General features: G+C 38.9%; 1 protein-coding gene across 41 annotated transcripts in view, besides 3 other annotated features; it reads left to right on the top strand.

The window, feature by feature from the left end:
* Positions 1-22,387, top strand: part of DENND1A (DENN domain containing 1A) — a 550,469-nt gene that overhangs the window by 174,923 nt on the left and 353,159 nt on the right. The window lies entirely within an intron of this gene.
* Positions 1,105-1,154: an enhancer, noted in NCBI's record as "active region_28950". NCBI's record gives its function as "activates an Ori minimal core promoter by ATAC-STARR-seq in GM12878 lymphoblastoid cells {active_cell/tissue: GM12878}" and the evidence as "EXISTENCE:reporter gene assay evidence [ECO:0000049][PMID:35858748]".
* Positions 5,139-5,268: an enhancer, noted in NCBI's record as "active region_28949". NCBI's record gives its function as "activates an Ori minimal core promoter by ATAC-STARR-seq in GM12878 lymphoblastoid cells {active_cell/tissue: GM12878}" and the evidence as "EXISTENCE:reporter gene assay evidence [ECO:0000049][PMID:35858748]".
* Positions 15,534-15,583: an enhancer, noted in NCBI's record as "active region_28948". NCBI's record gives its function as "activates an Ori minimal core promoter by ATAC-STARR-seq in GM12878 lymphoblastoid cells {active_cell/tissue: GM12878}" and the evidence as "EXISTENCE:reporter gene assay evidence [ECO:0000049][PMID:35858748]".

Below are 22,387 nucleotides of genomic sequence, written 5' to 3'. Positions count from 1 at the left end.
TTGCAGTGAGCTGAGATCATGCCACTTCACTCCAGTCTGGGCGACAGAGCAAGACTCTGTCTCAAAAAAAAAAAAAAAAAAATCTGTGTATAACTGGACCTCAGCAGCTCAAGCCTGTGTTGTCCAAGGTGAACTATGTATTCATTTGGAGGTGGTGAGGCTTAAACTGAGTTCTTAGAGTTTTGCAAAAAGGTTTTTCTCTATAATATGTTTGGGTTACAGTGTTTCTTTCTAAGCTGTGTGTGTGTATGTATATGTATATTCTAAACTGGCACTATCACTCAGCAAATTTTGATAAAAGTATTCATTTAAAAATTTACATTTGAATTTGCTTGTCTCTGATTCTGATGTGTGACTTTGTGTGCCTATACAAGTAGGGTCCTGGATTTCATATTTGTGAGAAGCCAGTTGAATAGTCTTCGTGCTTTCATCCTTTAGAATGAAAAATGGCAGCAATTGATGTGTTTTTTAAATCTGTTATAGTAGGTTAGAACTATGGAGAAAAATTCGGTGGGTTAATTCATTCATTTGTGTGTCAGTTCTTAATTGAATTCCTACTATTAGCTAGTCACTGTCCTTGAGTAGTTCCCAGACTAGCTGGGGAGATGGATGATCACAATACAGTATGCTGTATCTAATACACAGAATGATCCCAAGGCATAGTGTCGTCTTGCTGTTGCTTTTCTAGTGCCAGAGGATAGTGACTGTGGCTAAAAATAAAAGAGTCCTAGATGAATTGTGGAACATGAATTTTATGAGTATTTAATATGAGGGTAGAGAAGCTATCTTTTCCAGCTTGTGTGGAAATAAAGGGCACACCCACTGACACTTTCCCTCTGTTGGGTTTGGGAACATTGCTAGGCTGAGACTAGCATGTAAATGGAAGGGTTTACTGTTAAAGCTGGATGACTGGTTGACGGTGTATCCACTGGGGAGTGGAGAGGTCTGCCAAGAGAATGAGAGCTCAGTTTGGGTCTAGGTTACATTGTTGTATTGTCCTCTTCTGCTGCTCAGTCTCCTTGCTTCCTTTAGATACTTTCTCTTTAGTTAACCTGTGCCTTGAGGTCCAATCACCCTTCACAGTGTGCCCAGGGCTGTGGCTCAAGTCTGCTCATAAACTACCTCTACTTTTGCTTTCCATTTCTTCTCAAGGGATGTAGCTCTCAGTTATGGCATCTGTGCAGACGTAGCCCCTGTGGTTCCAGGATTTAGCTTCACTTCCTCCTTGTCTGACATTCCAAACTTCTATGCTTTCTGGTCCATGTGAACCACTCAACAGTCTCTGCTTTCACATGTTTACCCATCCTCCCAGACTCAGCCTAGGCACCTCTGCAGAGTAGCCTTCCCCATGTAGAGGTAATCATTCCCTCTCTGGCACACCCAGCGTGCTTTGCATTCTTTAGTTACACACTCATAACCTTGGTCCTCCTTTGTTTTCCTCCTATTGGAAGGTCAACTCTTCAGGGGTAAAGGCTGGATCTTAATTAACTATGCATGCATCTCCAGCAGTTAGTGTAGTGCTTATCCAAGATATTGTGTGCATTGGGATCAGAGACAGGGAAATGCATCAAGAATGGGAGGGCAGGGCACCAAAGACTTTGAATGAGAGGACAGGTGTCATGGGACGTAAATTCAGAGAGGAAATAAGAAATAGTTGTTGGAAGAAGTGTAGTTCACATTACCAAACTCATTTCATGCTAGTTGTAAGAGATGCACCTTTTAATCTCACAATGGAGGTTCAATATTGAGTGATAGACATTTTGTCCATGAAGGGTTAAGCCATCTGTATTTTAAAATTTAAACTTAATTTCACAATGAAAGGTTTTTAGACACCCTTTGTGCAACATAACCTACTTATTAGGTTCCTTTTTATTTTCTGTTCCTCCCCACTAGGGCATGAGCTCCATGAAGGCTGGGAATTTTTATGTTTTTTTCTCCTCCCACAAATACATCCAAAGTTTATTGAAGAATATTCTGGCACATAGCTGACATTCCCAGCTAGTCTGGGAACTCTTCAAGGACAAGGACTTAGCTAGTACTTGTTTTATGAAGGAATGAATGGGGAAATAAGCCCATGTTTATTAAAAAACATTAGAAACTTTGGTATGAACTCTTATTACCAGCTAACCTTGGCAGAAACCTAGTCGTACCAAACAAGTCCTATTAACACAAATGCCACTATAAATCAAATGCATTATTTCCTCCCATGGTTGACTAGTTCCTGCCACTGAAGAATTTTACTCCTCCTTGAGATTTGCCACATTATTTAATGAGTTCCTGGATGGGAGTTGATACTAAATTAAAAACACCAGCTAGGAGAACAGTAGTTACGGATTAGTTAGTCTCCATCATAAACACAGGGATGTGAGAGCATTTTAGCATTTTCATATTGTACCATCTGAGTCTGATGCAATATATGCATTTACCTCTGAAATCTTTAAATATTATAAAACAAAGTGACCTAGAATTGAAATTTGTTATGGCACTTGATATTTGATTTGCCCCAATGGCACATACTCCATCAAGGCCAAAACTGTAATGAAAGATGCGATTTCTAGCCAACTTCTAGTTCTGGATCAACAGAAGGAACACAGGAGTTCAAAGGTTTAAATTTGTGTTTGAGGGTTATGGGGAGATATGTCATACAATAATTAAATACCTTTTGTCTTTTATAAAGGAACTACACAAATATTTGCCCTACAGTTTTCTCCTGCTTCCATTGGGATCTTATTGAAGCTCTTAAGAAAGATTGAGTAACTGTCCTTACACCCAAATAAAACTAATTTTATTATACATTTTGGAAAGAAAAAACTTTTTTCCTCAAGATGCTGTCTAAATTTTTTTAGTTTAACTTTTTAAATTTTTATTCAATTAAAAAGTATCTGAGTACCTAGTATATACCCAGAATGGGCAATACATAACACTTGGTCTCTGGCCTTCACTTGTTTCAAGGTCCCTTAACATGAACACAGAGATCTAGCCCCAGATCTCCATTTGAAAACTCTTCAGATATCACACTCATCCAAGATTTTGATGAGCTGAACTTTCTGAACTTGGTAGTACAAAATGAAAAAAAAAAGTATTTCTTGTCATTTACCAAATATAAAATCTAATGTGCTTCTAGGTGCACTGTTCATGGACCACCTCTGATTTTGATATCCATCTCCCACTGCACTTCTGCTACCCTCACTCTTTTAGGAACTGCTCAATCTTTGGGGTGGGAAAATGTAAACAAGTAATGAAAACATAATGCGATCAGTGTTGTTTTAAGAAAACATATTTATGTGTAAGGTTCTTCAAAGTCACAGATTAGACAGTGCCCATCTCTAACTTGAGAATAAGGGAAAGTGTTGCTGATGAGTTCCAGTTAAACTGAGTCTTGCAGAATGAGTGGGGGCTTGGCTGGAGGAAAATGGGAGAACAGCTCTCTAGGCAGTGAGAACTGATACACAAAGTCCCCAAGAAATGAAAGGTATAGCAAGATGAAAGGATGCTGAGAATGCAGTGAGGGAGCAATAGCAAGAGATGATACCATCGAAGTCTGGGGTCCAATTGTGAGTGCTTCTGGGGCGTGCTCAAGATTTTAGATTTATCCGGTAGCAAATGGAATACTGTCAGCTGGTTTCGGGTAGACATTAGAGATGATGATGTTTTTAGACCAAGGCAAAAGTGATTTTTTGAATGTGAAATGTGCTTGGGTTTTTCTGGTTATTGTTTGAAGGGATGTTGCGTGTCACTTTGGAGGTAGCACCCAGATTTAGACTGGATTTTTCAAACCTCAACTGCAGGGGGTTTTTTTGTTTTCTTTTAAAAACAAGGATAGTGATTATCCCTTCTTCCATGCTAGTTGGCATATGGACTTGATTCTAAACCTGAGTGGTGTTCAGTGACAACCTTCTTCCTTCTGGAGCACTTTCTGATCTCAAGACTGGAATGACCATTGCATCCATTCTCAGCTGTGTTACATTCATTTTCACTCGAAACACAGAAAAGCTCCATTTCCACGGAGCAAAAAAGAAGCTAGAAGTAATAAAGGAGTCTGGCTTTAAGAACTTTGGCTTTCCTTGCTGACTGTTCCAGTGTTTTTAAACAACACATACAGTTCAGGAATAAAATCAAAGGACTCTGTTTCCTCAGGCAGGTGCGGTGGCAGAAGCCCTTTTGGGTTGTGTGTTAGCTGCTTTAGTTTAAAATAAGTGTTTGGGAGGTGGGGGAGGGAGTCGGGGAGGAAGGCTGTGGGGACAGCTCCCAGATTTTTACCTTGAAAGCAGGTGCTGCTGAAATATTCCAGAAACAGATGGAATCTCCTATTCTTGTTTTAAGCTGTTTATGGTTGTCTCGCCCGAGGGTACCCTGCTATACAAAAATGCACAGCCTGATGTTTGAGGGCAGTTGGGCATCAAAGCCGGGGCCCCTCTGGGAGAAATCAGCCTTTCTTCCCAGTGCCTTAAATGCCATTCTGGAAACCTGGGTCTTTCATACCGTTTAACAGAGGACTTTCCTTTGCCTTTTGAGTGTTTCTGTCTCTCTGGAACTGTTTGATTTCTTTTTAATTCTTCTCCTTAAAAGTAAGCTGGATACTGTGTTGTTCTTGTTATTCTCTGGATGGTCAGTTGGCAGAAGGCCCCACTGCTAAGGCAGATTGATAATTTCACCGACTGTGGGTCTCAGAACATGGCATCTGTCAGAAGCTGAACATAGAGGATGGGCCAGGGAGTCTGCTCTTTCCTAGGCCCAGGGCCCTTCTGAGTTCCTCAGTATTTTGAAAGGCTTGTGTGGGTGCAGGGCATGGGGTGCTCTTCAGAACATCAGTTTGTGGGAGTTTATAACTAGTTTTTCTGAATTAAAAAATGAAGTGGTTGGGGAATGTTGCATGTTTTATTGCCATACAGATGCCTTCATACTTAGAAACATATATAATCCTCTGGGGAGCCACAACTCAACAATAGTAACAAGCTGTACAGTTTAAAGAAAATCACCTTTGAAGAGAAGAAAGAGAAATAGCCGAAACTGCCCTTGCACTCCCAGTGGCCTGCTGTTGGAGGTTGATTTGAGGGCTGGGAAGCTGCGCAGTTGGAAGGACAGGTGTGTCTTCTGCAGTGGCCATGGGGGCTGGAACAAGCAGCCAGCCTCAGGCTGTCCACTGCAGGAGGAAGCTCCCTTTCTCCTCCTGATTCTTTTCAGAGGACACCAGCCTGGCACAGCCTTCCCTCAAGCAACCTGACCCTAGGGTTGTAGGGTATTTGTAACTCTAAGACTTTGGCTAAAAGGGATTTTTTATTTTTGAGACGGAGTGAATTCTAAACCTTACAAGAGATGTGATACTTTCTCTGTTTTGGAAACAGAACACTTCCTTGTCATTAATCCTCATGAAGCTTAGTACAGGGCAGGAAGTGAAACCACCTCAAGAACTCCAGGAGTGTAGTTCTGCCTTGTTTTTTGCTCTCTACCCACCCCCGCATTCTTCAATCATCTTGCTACCTCTAGTGACTGCTGCTGATGGCTCATGTTACTTCATCATTTTGAACATGGATAGACTAACTCTGGATAACTCACTACAGAGGATTTGGAGTGGAAGGCAGGAATTAACATTTATCAGCATTTATTTAATATGCCAGCTGGTTTATGTAATTTTCATTTATTTTTATAGCAATCTTATGAAATTATCTCCATTGTAGAGATAAAGGGATTGAGACTGAGAGAGATACAGTGACTTGCCCAAGATCTCAAGGAGAAAGTTAAGGAATCTGGTTTGGAAGCTAAAATCCAACCCAAAATTTATACTCTCAACTGCAAATTCTGTCTTCCTGCCACCAAAGCAACTTTTACTGCTTTCAAAAGGTTATTTGTCCTCTCTTTCTATATGTATATACTTAGTTTAAAAAGACATAATGGGTAGTTTGCCCTTGCAGAATGAACTCAGAGGTGAGCTTAAAGAGCTTTCAGAAATAATGTTCTACAGCTCACCCTCATCTTATAAATGATGAAAATGAAACATGAATGAGACAGGAAGATTTTTGTTCCAAGCTCTTTGGCTGGTGAATGACAGTCTTCTGACCTCCAACCCAGGGTTTTGCCCGTGATATGGCAATGATTCTTCCAACTCAGGAGAATGAGCCCAAGGCCAGCTGGAACTAATGTTTTTTCAAGACTCAGTAGCCCCTGGTTAGTGTCAAGGAGTCACATTCCCTTTTGGTTAGCATCATTATGAGCAATGTGAATAATCCAACTATGTGATTATAGAGTGAACAAGATGATCAGTTCTGTTTAAATCCGATGCAAGGTATGTTTGAATGGAAAACCAGTGAAATAGAGCCTGTCTTTTGAAAGGATCTCAGAATTCGACATGAGGGACCCTTTTTGGGAGATGAAAAAGCATTCTACAGGAGAGGCTCCTCGGTGCTTTTTGATTGAGTTTGAGTGTCAACAATTTTTCTTGGACCTCCCTGCAAGCCAGCCACTTTCCTTCAACAGCAATAAGCAGAAGGCATTTATCTGAGCCTGATCTTTGCTTTTCACTGGGTGGGAGGTAGAAAAGAAAATGGCTCAAAATACACCTCACTCCTAAAATTGCCCTTTGCTTCTAAGCTACACTCTTAAGAGCAAGATGGATTTGTGAATACAGGAGTCTGAATTTAAGTTGTCTGGCCCTTTCAGGGATCAGTTTTAGAAGCAGTAGGAAGCCTAACATTCTCTCCATCATGGAGAGGCCCCATAAGACTGCAATAATAGGTACTTCTTTACAGAAAAATCGTAGTACCATGATTGAAGTTTGAAGAAGTTTGAAGACTCTACAATTCTAGCAATCAATTATGAGCCACTTATTTTTAGGATGTTATTTTTTAAGATTATAAAGATACACTTTCTCATTAGAGAAATTTAGAAAACTGCAGAAAAGAAAAGAAATCTCTCATCCCACCATGCTGATAATGACTAAGGGTGTTTCCTTCCCTGAATTGGGATGGTGCTGTAGGTATAACTTTGTATCTAGCTTTTTCACTTATTAAATTGTAACCATCTTTACATGTCATTAAATATTCTTTCCTGAGAGTGTTTTTAACTACATAATTTATTTGTGTGAGATTGATTTATAATACAAGGAAAGAAGCTCTTAGTAATGTGAAAGAATATTTCTTGCTAAGGCTTATCTTCTTTTTAAAAATGCATTTGCTATAATGTTGTCATTCAGCTAACTACTTGGTATTTTTTTAAAAGAAACACTCAACTTTTTTTTTTATCTTAACATGTGAGCTATTACCTGATTCTTGACAATGAAGAATAGTTACTAGCTTCTGAAACAATGAACAGAAGAGTATGGAAATAGTATCAAAAGTCTTGGTTAAAATCAAGTGGCAAATAATGTGTTGAGTTTACGTTTCCGTATTTTATTTTGTATATTTACATCTTCAGAGTAAGTAATTTTATTAGCATGAGTTGTAAAATGCAAATTGTAACATTAAGGGAACTCTTTTGAAGTTAGATAGCAGTATAATTTTGAAATTAGAATATATTGCATTCTAAGTGAAAGCAAATTACATGTATCTTAAAACTTTACGTAAACTTATGGAATTTTTAAACATTGTGGAGAAAATTAAATTCTATATATTGTAGTATGCAGTGGAAATTAAGTAGGTTTTTATTTTCTACTCATGGACTTGAATCTACCAGTGATCTTATGCAAAACCAAGGGCAATTGTTGTGCTTTAGCTCAATCCACAAGTCTTAAACTACCACATAGAGATTTTAAATCCCTTATCTATAATACAAAGCAATATTTATTACAGAATTAATTCTGAGAGGCATCATTTATGGTTTCTAATCCATTCTATTTCAGATGCCTTTGAAGTAAAGTGGTGGAGTTTTGCATGTGAGGTTAATTGTCCTATTGTTCATTTATGCAGTCTGGTATTTTAACTACCTCTTTATGTGAATTAATGGACCCAAAATACAGCAAAAATGCTTGACTTGAAAAATTTTACATTTTTTAAAAACCGATTTAAGAGTGTGGTGGGAGAAGAAGTTGGGTGAAATTCAGTGTCCTGCAGTTTGTTGTCTAAGCTCCTTGGGATGACTGACTGATTTTTTTTTTATTTTAAGTTTTTAATTTTAAAATTCTGGTCCCATCAGAAAACAAGTTTTTAAGTGGTTAAAAAACAAAAAAACACTGCAAACAAAAACAACCCCAAGCCAAAACAGACTCTAAAGAATGTATGTTTGCTAGTATACTGTTTTCTGCTGAGCTAGGATTTTTACTGTCACTTTTGTAAATTTTGTAATTTTGGATACCAACTTTGGAGAAAATTTAATTTGTGCTTTTTCTTTTTTATTAGTATATGAAAAATATAGCCAATATTGATTATCCTTATTGAGTAAAGATAACTGTTGTCCCGTGACCACTGAAAACAAAACTTTTATAAATATCTTTTCATTGTACTCTTTGTTAACATTCTCCAGAGATTGCAATTCTAGGTCTTTTTGTTTGAAGGGACAGTTTAACTTTCAAGGACTCCCATGAACTTGTGCGTTCCTCAGATTTAGTGTACTCAAGTATCCCTAATCTGAACATCCAAAATTCAAAATGCTCTAAAAGCTTTTTGAGCACCAACATGATGCTCAAATGAAATGTCCATCGGAGCATTTTGGATTTCCAAATTAGCGGTGCTCAACTGGTATATATTCTGCAAATATTCCAAAATCCAAACAAATCTAAAATCTGAAACATTTCTGGTCCCATATGTTTTGGATAAGGGATATTCAAACTGTTTTTGTGTTGTAATGAAACAAACATTGGTGCTATACTTTGATTTTTTTTCAATCTTTTTAAAACATGGATTTATAATAAAAATATTTTTACTTGGCTGTCATTTGGTTTTTGTCTCAGTTATTTCAGTGGCAAATTGTGGACAATACTAATGCAGAATATTGTTCTAAAGATTAAATAAAACAGTAAATACTTGATAAAGTCCCTGTATGCTATATCTATTGTGTAAATGTTTGATCACAACCCTGTGTTTTTCCCTTTTGTAAATTGTGAAATATAACCTGCAAACAGAAAAGGGCGTCAAATGTACATATACACATTATACACACATAAGTAAACATAAATATACAGCAAATACCCATGTAATCACCATTGAAGTTCAGAAATTACTAGCACCCTGATATTAATTTTTTCACCTATGTATACATCCCTAAATAGTATAGTATAGCTTTGTTTGGTTTTGAACTCTGTGAGTTGCATTATGCAATTTAGAATTGTTATTTTCAGTCTTACTTCTTTTGCTTAACCTTGAGATTCACCCATGCTGTTGCTTATGGTTATAGTCTGTCTTCTTTGCTATCTAGTGTTCTGTGTTGTATGATGATATACCACAGCTGGTTTATGTAATTTTCATTTATTTTTATAGCAATCTTATGAAATTATCTCCATTGTAGAGATAAAGGGGTTGAGTTGTTTATGCATGTAACTGTAGGTGGCCATTTGGACTGTTTCTAGCGTGTGACTTTTATGAACATTCTTGAAGAGCTATACTGGTGCACATAGACTTAACTTCTGTGTACTGTATGTACCTAAGGAGTTGAATAGTTGTGTCATAGGACATGTATATCGTTGACTTCATTGGGATAAATGCCAAATTGGGCAATTTTATTCTATTAAGCTCAATCAACTTTATTGAGATAATGCCAAATTGTTTCCTTCAGTGGTTTCACCATTTTCTGCTTCTGCAAGCTGTGCATGAGCATTCCATGCACCACACTGCTGCCACTAGCTCCTTGCTTTTTAAAGAAGACTCGCCAGCATACACTTCACTTTTCTCAAAGCCCATGAGATCTAGGTATTATTGCCCTTATTTACTTCTCCAAACATTAATCTGGTCTCATCGTTTGCAGAGGTGTTGCTAGAGAAAGAGGCAGTCCCTGGAGTTGTGAGAGAAAGTTGATCATTATCTGAAAGGTAAAATGAGTTACACGGTGGCATGGCATAAGAGTGTGGTCTAGTGTCAGAGTAGGGCCTGCATTCCAGTCCTCCTGATTTGGAAATGAGCTTCTGATTACTCCATTTACTCTGTCTGAGCCTTAATTTCCTCATATCTATTTTTTTGGTGAGGATTAGAGATAATATAAGTAGGCCAGGCACGGTGGCTCACGCCTGTAATCCCTGCACTTTGGGAGGCCGAGGCGGGTCGATCACCTGAGGTCGGGAATTCGAGACCAGCCTGGCCAACATGGTGAAACCCTGTCTCTCCTAAAAATACAAAAATTAGCTGGGCATGGTGGTGTGCGCCTGTAATCCCAGCTACTCGGGAGACTGAGGCAGAAGAATTGCTTGAACCTGGGAGGCGGAGGTTGCAGTGAGCTGAGATTGCACCATTGCACTCCAGCCTGGGCAATAGGAGCAAGACTCTGTGTCAAAAAAAAAAAAAAAAAAAAAAGAGCTAATATAAGTAAAGAATATTGGTAAGGTGGTCGTGGACATCTCACCACATCACATAGTATAGTAGATATTGAAAGGTAGACCAATTGTCATAGGTGAGATGTATGTGGGCATACATGTGACAAAGTGTACATGAGCCTAGGTTATGCTAGCTTGCAGATGACACTTGGTAATGAGGTAGGCACTTACACACTGTTGATCAGGTTGTAAAATGGTCCAACATTCTTGGAAAACAATTGGCAATATATATTCAAAACCTTTAACATTTTTTCCACTTTGGGGAATCTGTTTTATGAAAAACTCAGAAATATAAGTACGGATATATGGACAAGGACATTTAGCATATAGAGTGAAAAGTTAGAAACAATTTTAAGGCCTAGAAATAGAGGATAGTTAAATTTAATTAGATACCATGTAGCCATTAAAATTGGTTTTGGTGATTATTTGATGACATGGAAAATATCCAGTACTTATAGAAGAAAAGCAAGAGACAAATTTTTATATGTGATGTGATCTCCATTTTGTAAAAAGTATGTAGAAAAAAATGACGTGGGGGATCGGATCCCAAAGTATTAATGAGAATAGTTAAGTAATGTTATCATGGGTGTTTTTAATTCTCTTTAATGAAGTAGTTATCCTGGCTGTTCTATCAAGCCCAATCCAAATATTCACTGCACAATAATTTACATATTTTTTAGTTTGGAAAAATTATAACCACCTTCATATATCTATCTCATGATTTCAAATATAGAATGCCACAAACGGCAGTACTTTAGCTACCAAAATAGTAACTGATACTCTAATGTGTGTTTCCCCACTAAGTTTGTGAAACGGACTTACGCTCTGAAATCAGAACTGTGTTCAAATTTTGATTCTACCCCTTACTAGATCTAAGGCCAAAACATGTCATGTCACCTTTCTGAGCCTGTTTCCTTAACTGTAAAACAGAAAGTACATCTCATGGTAGCCTTAAAGATTACGAGGTATATATATTTTTAATTTAAATTTAAATTTTTTTATTTTTTATTTTTTTTTTGAGATGCAGTTTCACTTTTGTTGCCCAGGTTGAAGTGCAATTGCGTGGTCTCAGCTCACTGCAACCTCTGCCTTCCAGGTTCAAGTGATTCTCCTGCCTCAGCCTCCCAAGTAGCTGAGCTTACAGGCACCCACGACCATGCTCAGCTAAGTTTTGTAGTTTTAGTAGAGACAGGGTTTCACCATATTGGTCAGGCTGGTCTCAAACCCCTGACCTCAGGTGATGCACCCACCCCAGCCTCCCAAAGTGCTGGGATTACAGGAGTGAGCCACCGCGCCCGGCCTATGTTTTTATTTTTATTATTTATTTATTTATTTATTTATTTATCTTTTGGGACTGAGTCTTACTCCATCGCTCAGGCTGGAGTGCAGTGGCACGATCTCGGCTCACTGCAGCCTCTGCCTCCTGAGTTCAAGTGATTCTCCCACCTCAGCCTCCCAAGTAGCTGGGATTACAGGTGCACGACACCATATCCAGCTAATTTATTTTTAGTAGAGACAGGGTTTTGTCATGTTGGCCAGGCTGACCTTGAACTCCTGACCTCAAGTGATCTGCCTGTCTCAACCTCCCAAAGTGCTGGGATTACAGGTGTGAGCCACCATGCCTCGCTCAGGAGAGATTTTTTTTTAATGGACATACCACGCACAGTGCATAGCACATCTTTGGTACTCAGTCCAAGGCAGTTATTCCCATGTTGTCTGCCAAGACTTAAAAATACCATTAGTTATACACTGCACCATTGATGTAAAAATATTTTTTCAGGGGGAGAAATGACTGTGTTAAATTTTTAGTTTGTTCCCAAAATGCATTTTGATTTCAGAGATGTTAAAGGAGTTCCTCTTAATTGAGAAATGTTAGTATTAATTTCCAAGTGGGATATTTAGCATCTGTCCTATGCATTATCACCATTCTCTACTCACCTAGTTGACCTGTTAATTTTCTCAGAAATTTTTATCTTATTTCTGTAAAATGACTAGGAACCTATTCCCAATGTGTGTCTCAAACCTGCTTTTTATGGCCTCAGGATCTCTGTCATAACCTGTTTTATGCTTTCACAAACTGAGCCCCTGGGGAGCTGTCTGCACTTTTCAGTGTGATCCAGCTGAATTCCTTCCCTTCCCCACTCAAGCCCTTTGATTTGCCAGGTTTTTGTTCGTCTACCCTAAGGATGAACTGAGATTGCTGAGCATGGCCTCTCTTGTGGTGCAAAGTGAGAATTGTTTTTAATTGAGCAGAAACATGTGGAAGGATCAGGAATATCTCAAGGGATTACAGAAAAATTCCAAATTTGTACTACTTACAGCTTGTGTTTAGAACAGGGTCTGCTGGGAATAAATGTTAGTTAGTGTGGCCTGTGACCTTAAAAACTGTTGACATGGACTTCAGCCAGAAACTAGCCACAGACCTCCTTTGTTAAACTCATTCATAGCTCCTTGAAAACTCTAGTCAGTGAAAGTTGCCAGCTCCAATCTAAGCATAGCCTTTTTTTTTTTTTTCCCATGCTTTGGAAACAGAGGACGCCCCTTAACCAGCAGGCCTTCTTTAATAGGACTACATGGCCTAAACGCAATTGGAATTGACAACTTCCTGGCTTGGGTTTGCCAACTGGCAGAGCTGTGAGGCCGAGGGGACAAACAGCGTTGGGGCGCTATGCACTTGTGTTTATGTATGTGCAGAGGAGACTGAACTCTAGAGCATGGTGATACCCTTCGCTCTGAGAGCAACGCTCTGGCCTGAATTGGACACGTCTTTCAAATGTTCTGCTGGAATAGACACATCAGAATTATCCCTCAGTACTTTCTTTTTAAAGGAAAGAAAAGAGAAAATAACTGCCCTTTCTTTTTTGATAGGAATGATCATGGCCTTTCCCCTCTCTGCTCAGAATCCTTGATTTAATCCTCTTTTTGTCAGCGTTGTGCTATGTTGCTCAAATATAAAATGAGAACTTGAAACTCGGATTGGGGAATTATCATTTGTTGAATGACACTCAGCACCCACTCACTCTGGAGCTTTATTTAACAAAGTTTAGTTTCATATCAAGGTGAAGGGATAACCAGGATATCTGTCTATTTTACTCATTGAGGAGACTGAGCAATGAGGAAGTTAAGCAATTTCTTCTCCTTTCCTATCAAAAGAACCCTAAGGAAGGGCCTTAAACAATTATGATGCTGCCTCTGTAAACCAGCATAGTAACTGAGTTAGAAATTAATATTTTCCTTAGTTCTTGTCTTTAATCCAAAAGACTACATTGTCTGAAATACCTGAAATTTTGAAAAATGGATAAATGGATCAGGCTAAAAAGAGGAAGTAGTTATTCTGCTTACAGAGTTTCCTTTGACATTGTTGACATTGATGGTGGGTAGGGAAGCTAGCTTAGTTATGGATTGTCATTCTGAGATATCCGATCATATCCGTTCATATCTCTTTCCACTTTAATCACTTGTAAAATTTTGGTTGTTGGAGTAGAATATTTATTTCCAGGTATGCCGTTGAAATTGTTTTTAACATAAATACTCTAGCAGACTTATCACTTTTAAAAGTTGCTGAGGTTTGGCATGATTTCAGCCAGGCATGTGTGAGGAGAAAAAAGGAATGTCACATTGGCCTAGGAATATGGAAACTTTGAAAGAAGAAATTATATAATTTCCTTGAGAGGGTACAAGAATTTAGATGCCATTGAGAGAACCCTTGAGAGTAGCTGACCCCTAGTAGATTCTACATAAGTACTTATTGAATGAATAAAAGTTGCTGAAATAACTATTTCCTAGTCCTGGTACTTGCCTGTCCATACTCTCTCTCTCTCTCTCTCTCTCTCTCTCTCTCTCTCTCTCTCACTTTCCCTTCCTCAGCATCTTTCTTTACCTTAGAACATTTATTTCTTCCGCAGAAAGTAGGTGATGCCATCATGTTTAATTACCTAACATTCTAAAGCACAGCTTGTAGATTGAGACCTAGATTCAAATTCTGACTTACGAGCCATGTGACAAATCATATAACCTGTCTCATCTGATCCTTGTTTCCCACATCTGTAAAAGAAAGATAATGAGGCCTACTTTGTAAAGTTGTTAACATATGTGTAAATATGTTATATAAGATACCTAATTTAGGAGTTAGCAACAGAGAATTTTTTTTTTCTAAGAAGGAATTTCATATGTTTTTCCACATATGCTTTTTCTCCTGCTCTCTATCAAAGGGAATAATAAGAAAAGGTCTCAAAGACTTTGCTACCTCTACAGATCTCCTTGCTCATTCAGGGAAAGTAGTTACTGGGTAGACCAGCTAAGAGTAATTGAAAGTGTCCCAGACTCTAAATGGGAGATTTATAATAGCCTATGGGAGTTGTTTAATGCTTATCTTCTGTACCTGTGCTCTATACTGAGAGTAGATTAGATAGTTAGAAAATATATTTAGACAGGTTATTAAGAAAACCAGATTTCTATTTTTGCTGCTTTTTTGACAAAAAGATAATCTCAGAACATTAAGCAGCATAGAGAATTGTGGAGAATTATCTGAACTTAAGTTCTGTTTTGCACAGGATTTTTTTTTTATTTCCAACTTTTACGTAGAGGGGCATATGCACAGGACATGCAGGGTTGTTACATAGGTAAACATGTTGCGCAAGATTGCACTGTAAGTGCTCCCCTTCTTAAACACACTTAAAGGTGGTTTTGTAAGAATTAATTCTAAAACTCTCCCCAATGTAAGCTGATACATCCATGTGGTCTTATAACCTCTGTGTACATTATGTGACTCTAACCCTTGGTGTTTTGTGTGAATAGCAAATTATATGAAGCCTTTTTTTTTTTTTTTCTCCTATGTACCAGGGAATTAAGAACACACTCTGGAAAAGGATGAAGAACTCTGGTGTGTAGAAGAGGGAAGAACTTTTTTGTCAGATTTTATTTTACTGGAATATATTCCCTTAAGATTTCATAAGATGAGAGTATGTCATCTTTTTTTCTAAAGATTTTCCCCCTAATGCTACCTCATTTTCTAAACTTTCATTAATAGTTCTTTGCAGCTGAAGCAAATATTTTAGATCTTTCTTGTACTCTCCTCCAGCTGGGAGTGTCTTTCACACATCAAAGGCAGATATGAGCCTCTCATTAAAAGATAGTATGAGTTCATCATCTTAGAAGAGTAGGACCTGAAAACCTGAGATAACTTTCAGCTGCAAGTCATATCTAAGCTGGACTGAGATTTTTCTGTTGGTTACCGCATTTCTTTTCTCAATTCATCACTCCCAGGTGCTCTAAAATCTGACTTTCTCTCTTAGTTTTGTTTATAACTGAAAGTTATCTTTATTCAGAATACAAAGTTAGTTGTAGAGGTTAGGAAAGATAAATATTTTAACACTTATTTTTAATAAGAAAATCAGGACTCTGGAAACTTAGGAAGAAAGCCCGGGGTCTGCTTGTTATTTTCCCTCTCTGTCTTTCTGCACACTTTTTGTGCGAGGCCTTATTAATACCCTCTCACTGCACTGCCTGCTCCAGTGTCTATAAGGTAATTATTTGAAACTCATAAGTCAGCCCTGAAAACTCCACAAATCCTCCTCTTCCTAACTTTTGCTAATGAAAAGCAACCCTGAAATCAGAGTGGTTGAACAGATTTCTTGAGAGTATGGAGAACAATGATTATGTCCTTCAGATTTTATTTTTGAAAAAAAATTCTAGATCCCTATGAAGGCTGGAATGTGACATTCTATCTAAAAGCCACACGAAAGGTTTTTAGCTCCTTTTTTGTGTATATGTACATATGCATGCTTGTGAACAAGTTATTGCAAAATGTTGCAGGTTCCATCGTTTGAGTAATAGCCACATCAAATCCCAATTCTTTTCCATAGTATTTACTTTTCTTACTTTGCTCAATTTCAAGCTCTGTGTTAGTATTTTCTAGCCAAAGGTGAAAGTTGTCCCCAGATAAATATTAGGATGGCCTGCCAGCCAAATCCCAGGCAACCCAGTGAATTACTCTCTTTGATAGTAGACAGGTCCAGTTCAAGTTGCTCTGAATGGCATTTAACTATAAAACAATAGCCTTAACAAAAGTTGCTGGTATCCTTGAAATGGTTTCATACCAGTAGCCAATTCTTTCAGCACTTTAGGATATGAGGCTTGTTCCATCAGAGTGCCAGCTTTTGGAGCTTTACATAGCCAATGAATGGTGAAAGAGGGAAGAGAAAAGTATGTAGATGTATTGAAAATGCATAAAATAAAAAATGAAAAGCAAACAAACAAAAACATCACTACACACACACACACACACACACACACACACACACACACAGAAGCTGTTGACACGGCAGTTTTTCATTCTTTATGGCTCTAGGGACAAGTTTAAATTGGGAAAAATTTTTTTATTCTCTTGTGCTGTGTTGAACAGGAAGGCAATGTTTGATGTAATCTGGCCCAGATGTCAGCAGTGTGCAGCCTTGTGATGATTATTTATCTTCAGGTTTTTATTTTGTAAAAGGAGAATCCACAAACAATTGTTTAGAGTCATAAGCTGTATTTAATGACTGTTTTTGACATTTTGTGTATGCAACGAACAAACATATTAGTTTAAATATGTTTTACATTTAATTTCATTTTAGCTATTATCTTAAAATCCTCTTTAACAAATACTGGTTATGAGTCCCTTGATAGATGTTAACATGTTCAGTGCTTTACATTCAGGATAGCGTTTCTCTTATTTCAATTTCTTACTCTTCTAGGAAGTTTTCTCAGCTAAGACTGTCAAACTAGTGGGCTCTTTTAAATGGTGTTTGAAAGAATTTTCTCATATAAATTTCCCAGAAGGATATCAGTATTTTGGGGTTAGAAAATGGCTTAGAATGTAAGTGGCAAAACTTCAATAACAGCTCCCAAATGGCAGTCCATTTACTCACATTTGAGGGGATTAATTATCTTGGAATTCAGGTGTCTTTGTTTTAACAGTATTGTTTTCAAAATATTTTGAAAGATGAGCATTGCTTATGATTTATACCTGTCTCTTGTCTACCCCCTTTGAAGTGCTGCTGATGGCTGCTAAGACCCCTGGAAAGAGTGGATTTTGAAATTTCATTTTGGGGATGGGAGGAGCGGGGAGTACTTTTGCCACATAATACTCTTTTAAAGATCGAGGAATGTGTACAAAAATCTTAGCTTCTGCTACGTTTTTTCCAAACACAACTAAGCTTTCTCAGTAAATTTAATTTGGACTACTCAGTTGTATAGTGGGTTGCCCTTTAAAAACTGAGTTCAGGCTGGGTGTGGTGGCTCACATCTGTAATCCTAGTGCTTTGGGAGGTCAAGGCAGGAGGATTACCTGAACCCAGGAGTTCGAGAACAGCCTGAGCAACATAATGAGACCCCATGTTTACAAAAAATTAGCCAGGCATGGTAGTGCACACCTGTAGTTCCAGCTACTTGGGAGGCTGAGGAAGGAAGATTGCTTGAGCCCCAGGAGTTCAAGGATGCAGTGAGCTATGATTGCACCACTGCACTCCAGTGTGGGCGACAGAGTGAGACCCTGTCTCTTAAACAAGTACAACAACAACAACCAAAACTGAGTTGAATTAAAGGTTAAATTAAACATTTTAAATATATTCCATATGAGATGCCAATATTAATTCTAACCTAGCACAATAATAATTTTAACCCAGGCAGGATTAACTCCTATTCTCCATTAGCTCACCTCATTGACTTCAATGGAATTTTTGTCTTAAAAAATACCGAATAAATTATATTGACATTTTATAACTTCTAGATCAGTAACCTCACAGCATTGGTAGTTAGTCCATTAAGGTAATCTTCATTGGCATCAGTGTAGGATAGCAGAAAGATGAGTAGTTTTAGGACCTGGATTCAAGTCCTGTATGTACTGCCAATAGGCCCAGTGACATTGGGCAAGACGTCTGACCTGTATCTACCTCATCTGAAAAATGAGGGTTGTCAGTGTCCCTTAAGACTGAGATATTCTGTGATTCAAAAAAATTCAAATCAAAATAATGTTATTAAATTCCAATGAGCTCATTAGGGCTTTATTGCCATAATTCATTTTTTTGACAATTGTTTTCTTATTCCCATGAATGTGTTTGAGATGCATGATCAGAGGGATTACAGAAGTTTTAGTGCAGTCTTGCTAATGCATGGCAGTATTTCTAAAAAAAATGTAATTGTATCTTATTATCAGCATTGTCATCACTTTTAGATAGGACATTAAATATGAGGCCTCATTTATTCCTTAAAATATAGGAACAGTGACTCTATGCTGTTCTCTTACCTTCCCTAACAGCTCTCCTGAGGAAGCTAAGACACAGGGCAAGGGACTTTTTCCTTGTGACATCATAGCATGACCTGGCCTGGAATTCTGATGTAGTAAGGAAAGAACCACTAAGTTGGCAGAGAGACCCTCAATCTAGACTCCGCCCGGAGCCTGTTGGACTCTGACTTTGGGTATGATTCTGGGCTTCTCTCCTTCCAGAAAATGGAAATGATAACATTAGCCCTTCTGAGCTTACAACATAGCTCTTACAGGTCATGTGTTCTCATACACTGACTTGAAGACCTTCTTTTGTTTATTTGTACCTTTAGCCTTGATAAAGACAAAACTGCTATTGGTGTGTATAGTTACTATAAGGATTTTTAGTTCTCATTAGAACTACTTATCCAGCTATGAGTACATTGGTAGAGAAGGTGCAGTCTAACTAGCTAGCTTCAGTGATTTTTCTTTTTTCTTTTTTTGGAGACAGGGCCTTACTCTGTCACCCAGGATGGAGTGCAGTGGCAGTGGCACAATCTCGGCTCACTGCAACCTCTGCCTCCCAGGTTCAAGCAATTCTCCCACCACAGCCTCCCGAGTAGCTGGGACTACAGGTGTACACCATCATGCCCGGCTAATTTTTGTATTTTTGGAAGAGACAGGGTTTCACCATGTTGGCCAGGCTGGTCTTGAACTCCTGACTTCAAGTGATCCACCCATCTTGGCCTCCCAAAGTGCTGGGATTATAGGTGTGAGCCACCACGCCCAGCCAAGCTTCAGTATTTTTTTCTAAAAGGTGACTGTTGTTTTGGGAATTCAGAATTCTTGATTAACAATAAAAACTTTTAAAAAAGGAAACATCTCACCACTTACTGTTTTGTTACTCATGAGAGGACAATTTCTAGAATATCAGGCAAATACTGAGTGTGGTATGTGTCACGGACGACCTGAGGAAATCATGATGCTGGCTTTTTTGACTAGGACTTCAGAGATCATGGGAGCATCGGGAAGTCTCTGCAAGTGAGTGCAGAGAGTGTGAGCTGTGGAGTCAGAGGGGTTTGCATTTGCTTACCAGCTCTTGCCCACTTATGATCTTCTTACCTAACATCTTGCAACTTATTTTTGTCATCTTTGACATTCAGAGATAAGGACTCACCTCAAAGGGTTGCGAGAGAGAGAGAGTGTACAAATTATTCAGCAGAGTGTCTGATATATAGTGGGGACTCCATGAACTCGTTCCTTCCTGGATGAGCTGGTTTAGAACATCTAGAAATGGTCATAGTGGAAATAGGGGTATTTTAATTTTTATCACCTGGTTAATATTGGGAAGTTCACTGAGCCTTTAGATAGATGTGCCCTTTGATATCTTCCTTGATTTTCTTGGGGGGAGAAAAGCTTAGAATATAAACTCAGAAGGTTCAAATCCCATCTCCTCTTTTCCCAGCAACATCTCCATGAGCATCTCCAACTTTTCTGGCTTCTCCTTCTCCATCTACGTAATGAGAGCAATCATAAGTCCTTGGAGGATTGTAGCGAGGATCAAATCATAACGTATGATGCTGCCTGGTAGTAGTAACTGGTTCCTACACAAGTTTTACCTAGTGACAACTTGAAAGCTAACACGGCTTTTTTTAAAAAATAAAAAAAATTATTTTCCCAAGCCCTCTCTTGGGATGTGCTCATGTGAGAGGATGAGGCAGAAACTTGCTGTAATACACACCCATCATATGTCTAGAACCAAGTGCCCTGAACATTCACGTGCATTCTCTCCTCCACTCTTCACAGCAGTCCCGCAGAGGAAGAATTATCCTCGTCTTACAGAAGAGGAAAAGGAACCTTAGAGAATCATTATTAGCTGATATTGTCAGTATTTGAACCTAGCTCTGTTTGACTCTGAAGTCCATGTTCCTCCCATTCTTTTGTCTTGCCCCCATCCCAAACTTGGTGCCTTATTTGACTTAGGCTAAGGAAACGTGTATTGTTATTTGGTGTCTGTAGGTGTCCTATACTCCACTGCAGACACTGAGGATGCAGTGATCCCCGAGACATGCACTTTCCCCACTTTCACATGGCCCAGGATCTGAAGGCAGACATATAATTAAACAATTAGTTGCAATATTGAACTCTGATAAAGAAAGTTAAATTATTATGTAAATGAGTAGTCATCTGTGTATTTTAAACAGGCAATTTCCTCTGAATAGGTGACTTCTGTTGGTTTCAGGGTATCACATAATCTTAAAGTAGTTCTCCTTTTGGGGTGAATGTAACATCCTGTATTTCCATAACTTATCTTGCTAAAATATGAATAAAAACTTAATAATGACTCTGCCTCTACATAAAAAAATAAAAATGTTACCTGGGCTTGGTGGCAGACATCTGTAGTCTCAGCTACTTGGGAGACTGAGGTGGGAGGATCACTTGAGTCCAGGAGTTCGAGGCTACAGTGAACTATGAACTATGTGCCTCTCTGTACTCTAGCCTGGGCAGCAGAGTGAGACTGTCTTGAAAAGAAGCAAACAAGAGGCCTGGCACGGTGGCTCATGCCTGTAATACCAGCACTTTGGGAAGCTGAGGCAGGTGGATTACGAGGTCAGGACTTCGAGACCAGCCTGGCCAACATGGTGAAACCCTGTCTCTGCTAAAAAGTACAAAAAATTAGCTGGTCATGGTGGCATGTGCCTGTAGTCTCAGCTGCTTGGGAGGCTGAGGCAGGAGAATTGCTTGAAACCAGGAGATGGAGGTTGCAGTGAGCCAAGACTGTGCCATTGCACTCCAGCCTGGGCAACAGAGCAAGACTCTGTCTCAAAAAAAAAAAAATAACCAACAAGAATATGATTCTATAAAAAGTAACATTCAGGAATAAAAAAAGGAAGTTCTTAAAAATTAAGAAAGTGAAAGCAAGGCTGGATGTGATGGCTCCTGCCTGTAATCTCAGTGCTTTGGAAGGCCAAGGTGGGAGGATCGCTTGAGGCCAGGAGTTTGAGACCAGCCTGGCCAACATAGTGAGACCCTGTTTCTACTAAAAATAAAAAATATAAAAATTAGCTGGGTGTGGTGGCACATACCTGTAGTCCCAATTACTTAGGAGGCTGAGATGGGAGGATCACTTGAGCCCAGGAGTTTGAGGCTACAGAAACCTATGATCACACCACTGCACTCCAGCCTGGGCAACAGAGTCAGATCCTGTCTTTAAAAAACAAACAAACTGGCCGGGTGCGGTGGCTCACACCTGTAATCCCAGCACTTTGGGAGGCTGAGGCGGGCAGGTCACCTGAGGTTGGGAGTTTGAGACCCGCCTGACCTACATGGAGAAACCCCGTCTCTACTAAAAATACAAAATTAGCCGAGTGTGGTGGCGTGTGCCTATAATCCCAGCTACTTGGGAGGCTGAGTCAGGAGAATTGCTTGAACCCAGGAGGCAGAGGTTGCGGTGAGCCGAGATCGCGCCATTGCACTCCAGCCTGGGCAACAAGAGCAAAACTCCCATCTCAAAACAACAACAATAAACTTAGTAGCCACTCATTTATTGAATGCTTACTATTTGCTTAGTGCTGTCCATGCGCTCTCTCATTTAATCCTCATTAAAAACTCTTTGAGAAAGCACTATGGCCCCCATTATACAGATGAAGAAACCTAGGTTTGGACAGATTAAGTAACTTGCCAAAAGTGAT

Source organism: Homo sapiens, chromosome 9 (genome assembly GCF_000001405.40).
Source record: "Homo sapiens chromosome 9, GRCh38.p14 Primary Assembly".
Taxonomy (NCBI): domain Eukaryota; kingdom Metazoa; phylum Chordata; class Mammalia; order Primates; family Hominidae; genus Homo; species Homo sapiens.
Note: the sequence above shows the minus strand (reverse complement) of the source record. Positions and strands in the feature narration are given on the sequence as shown.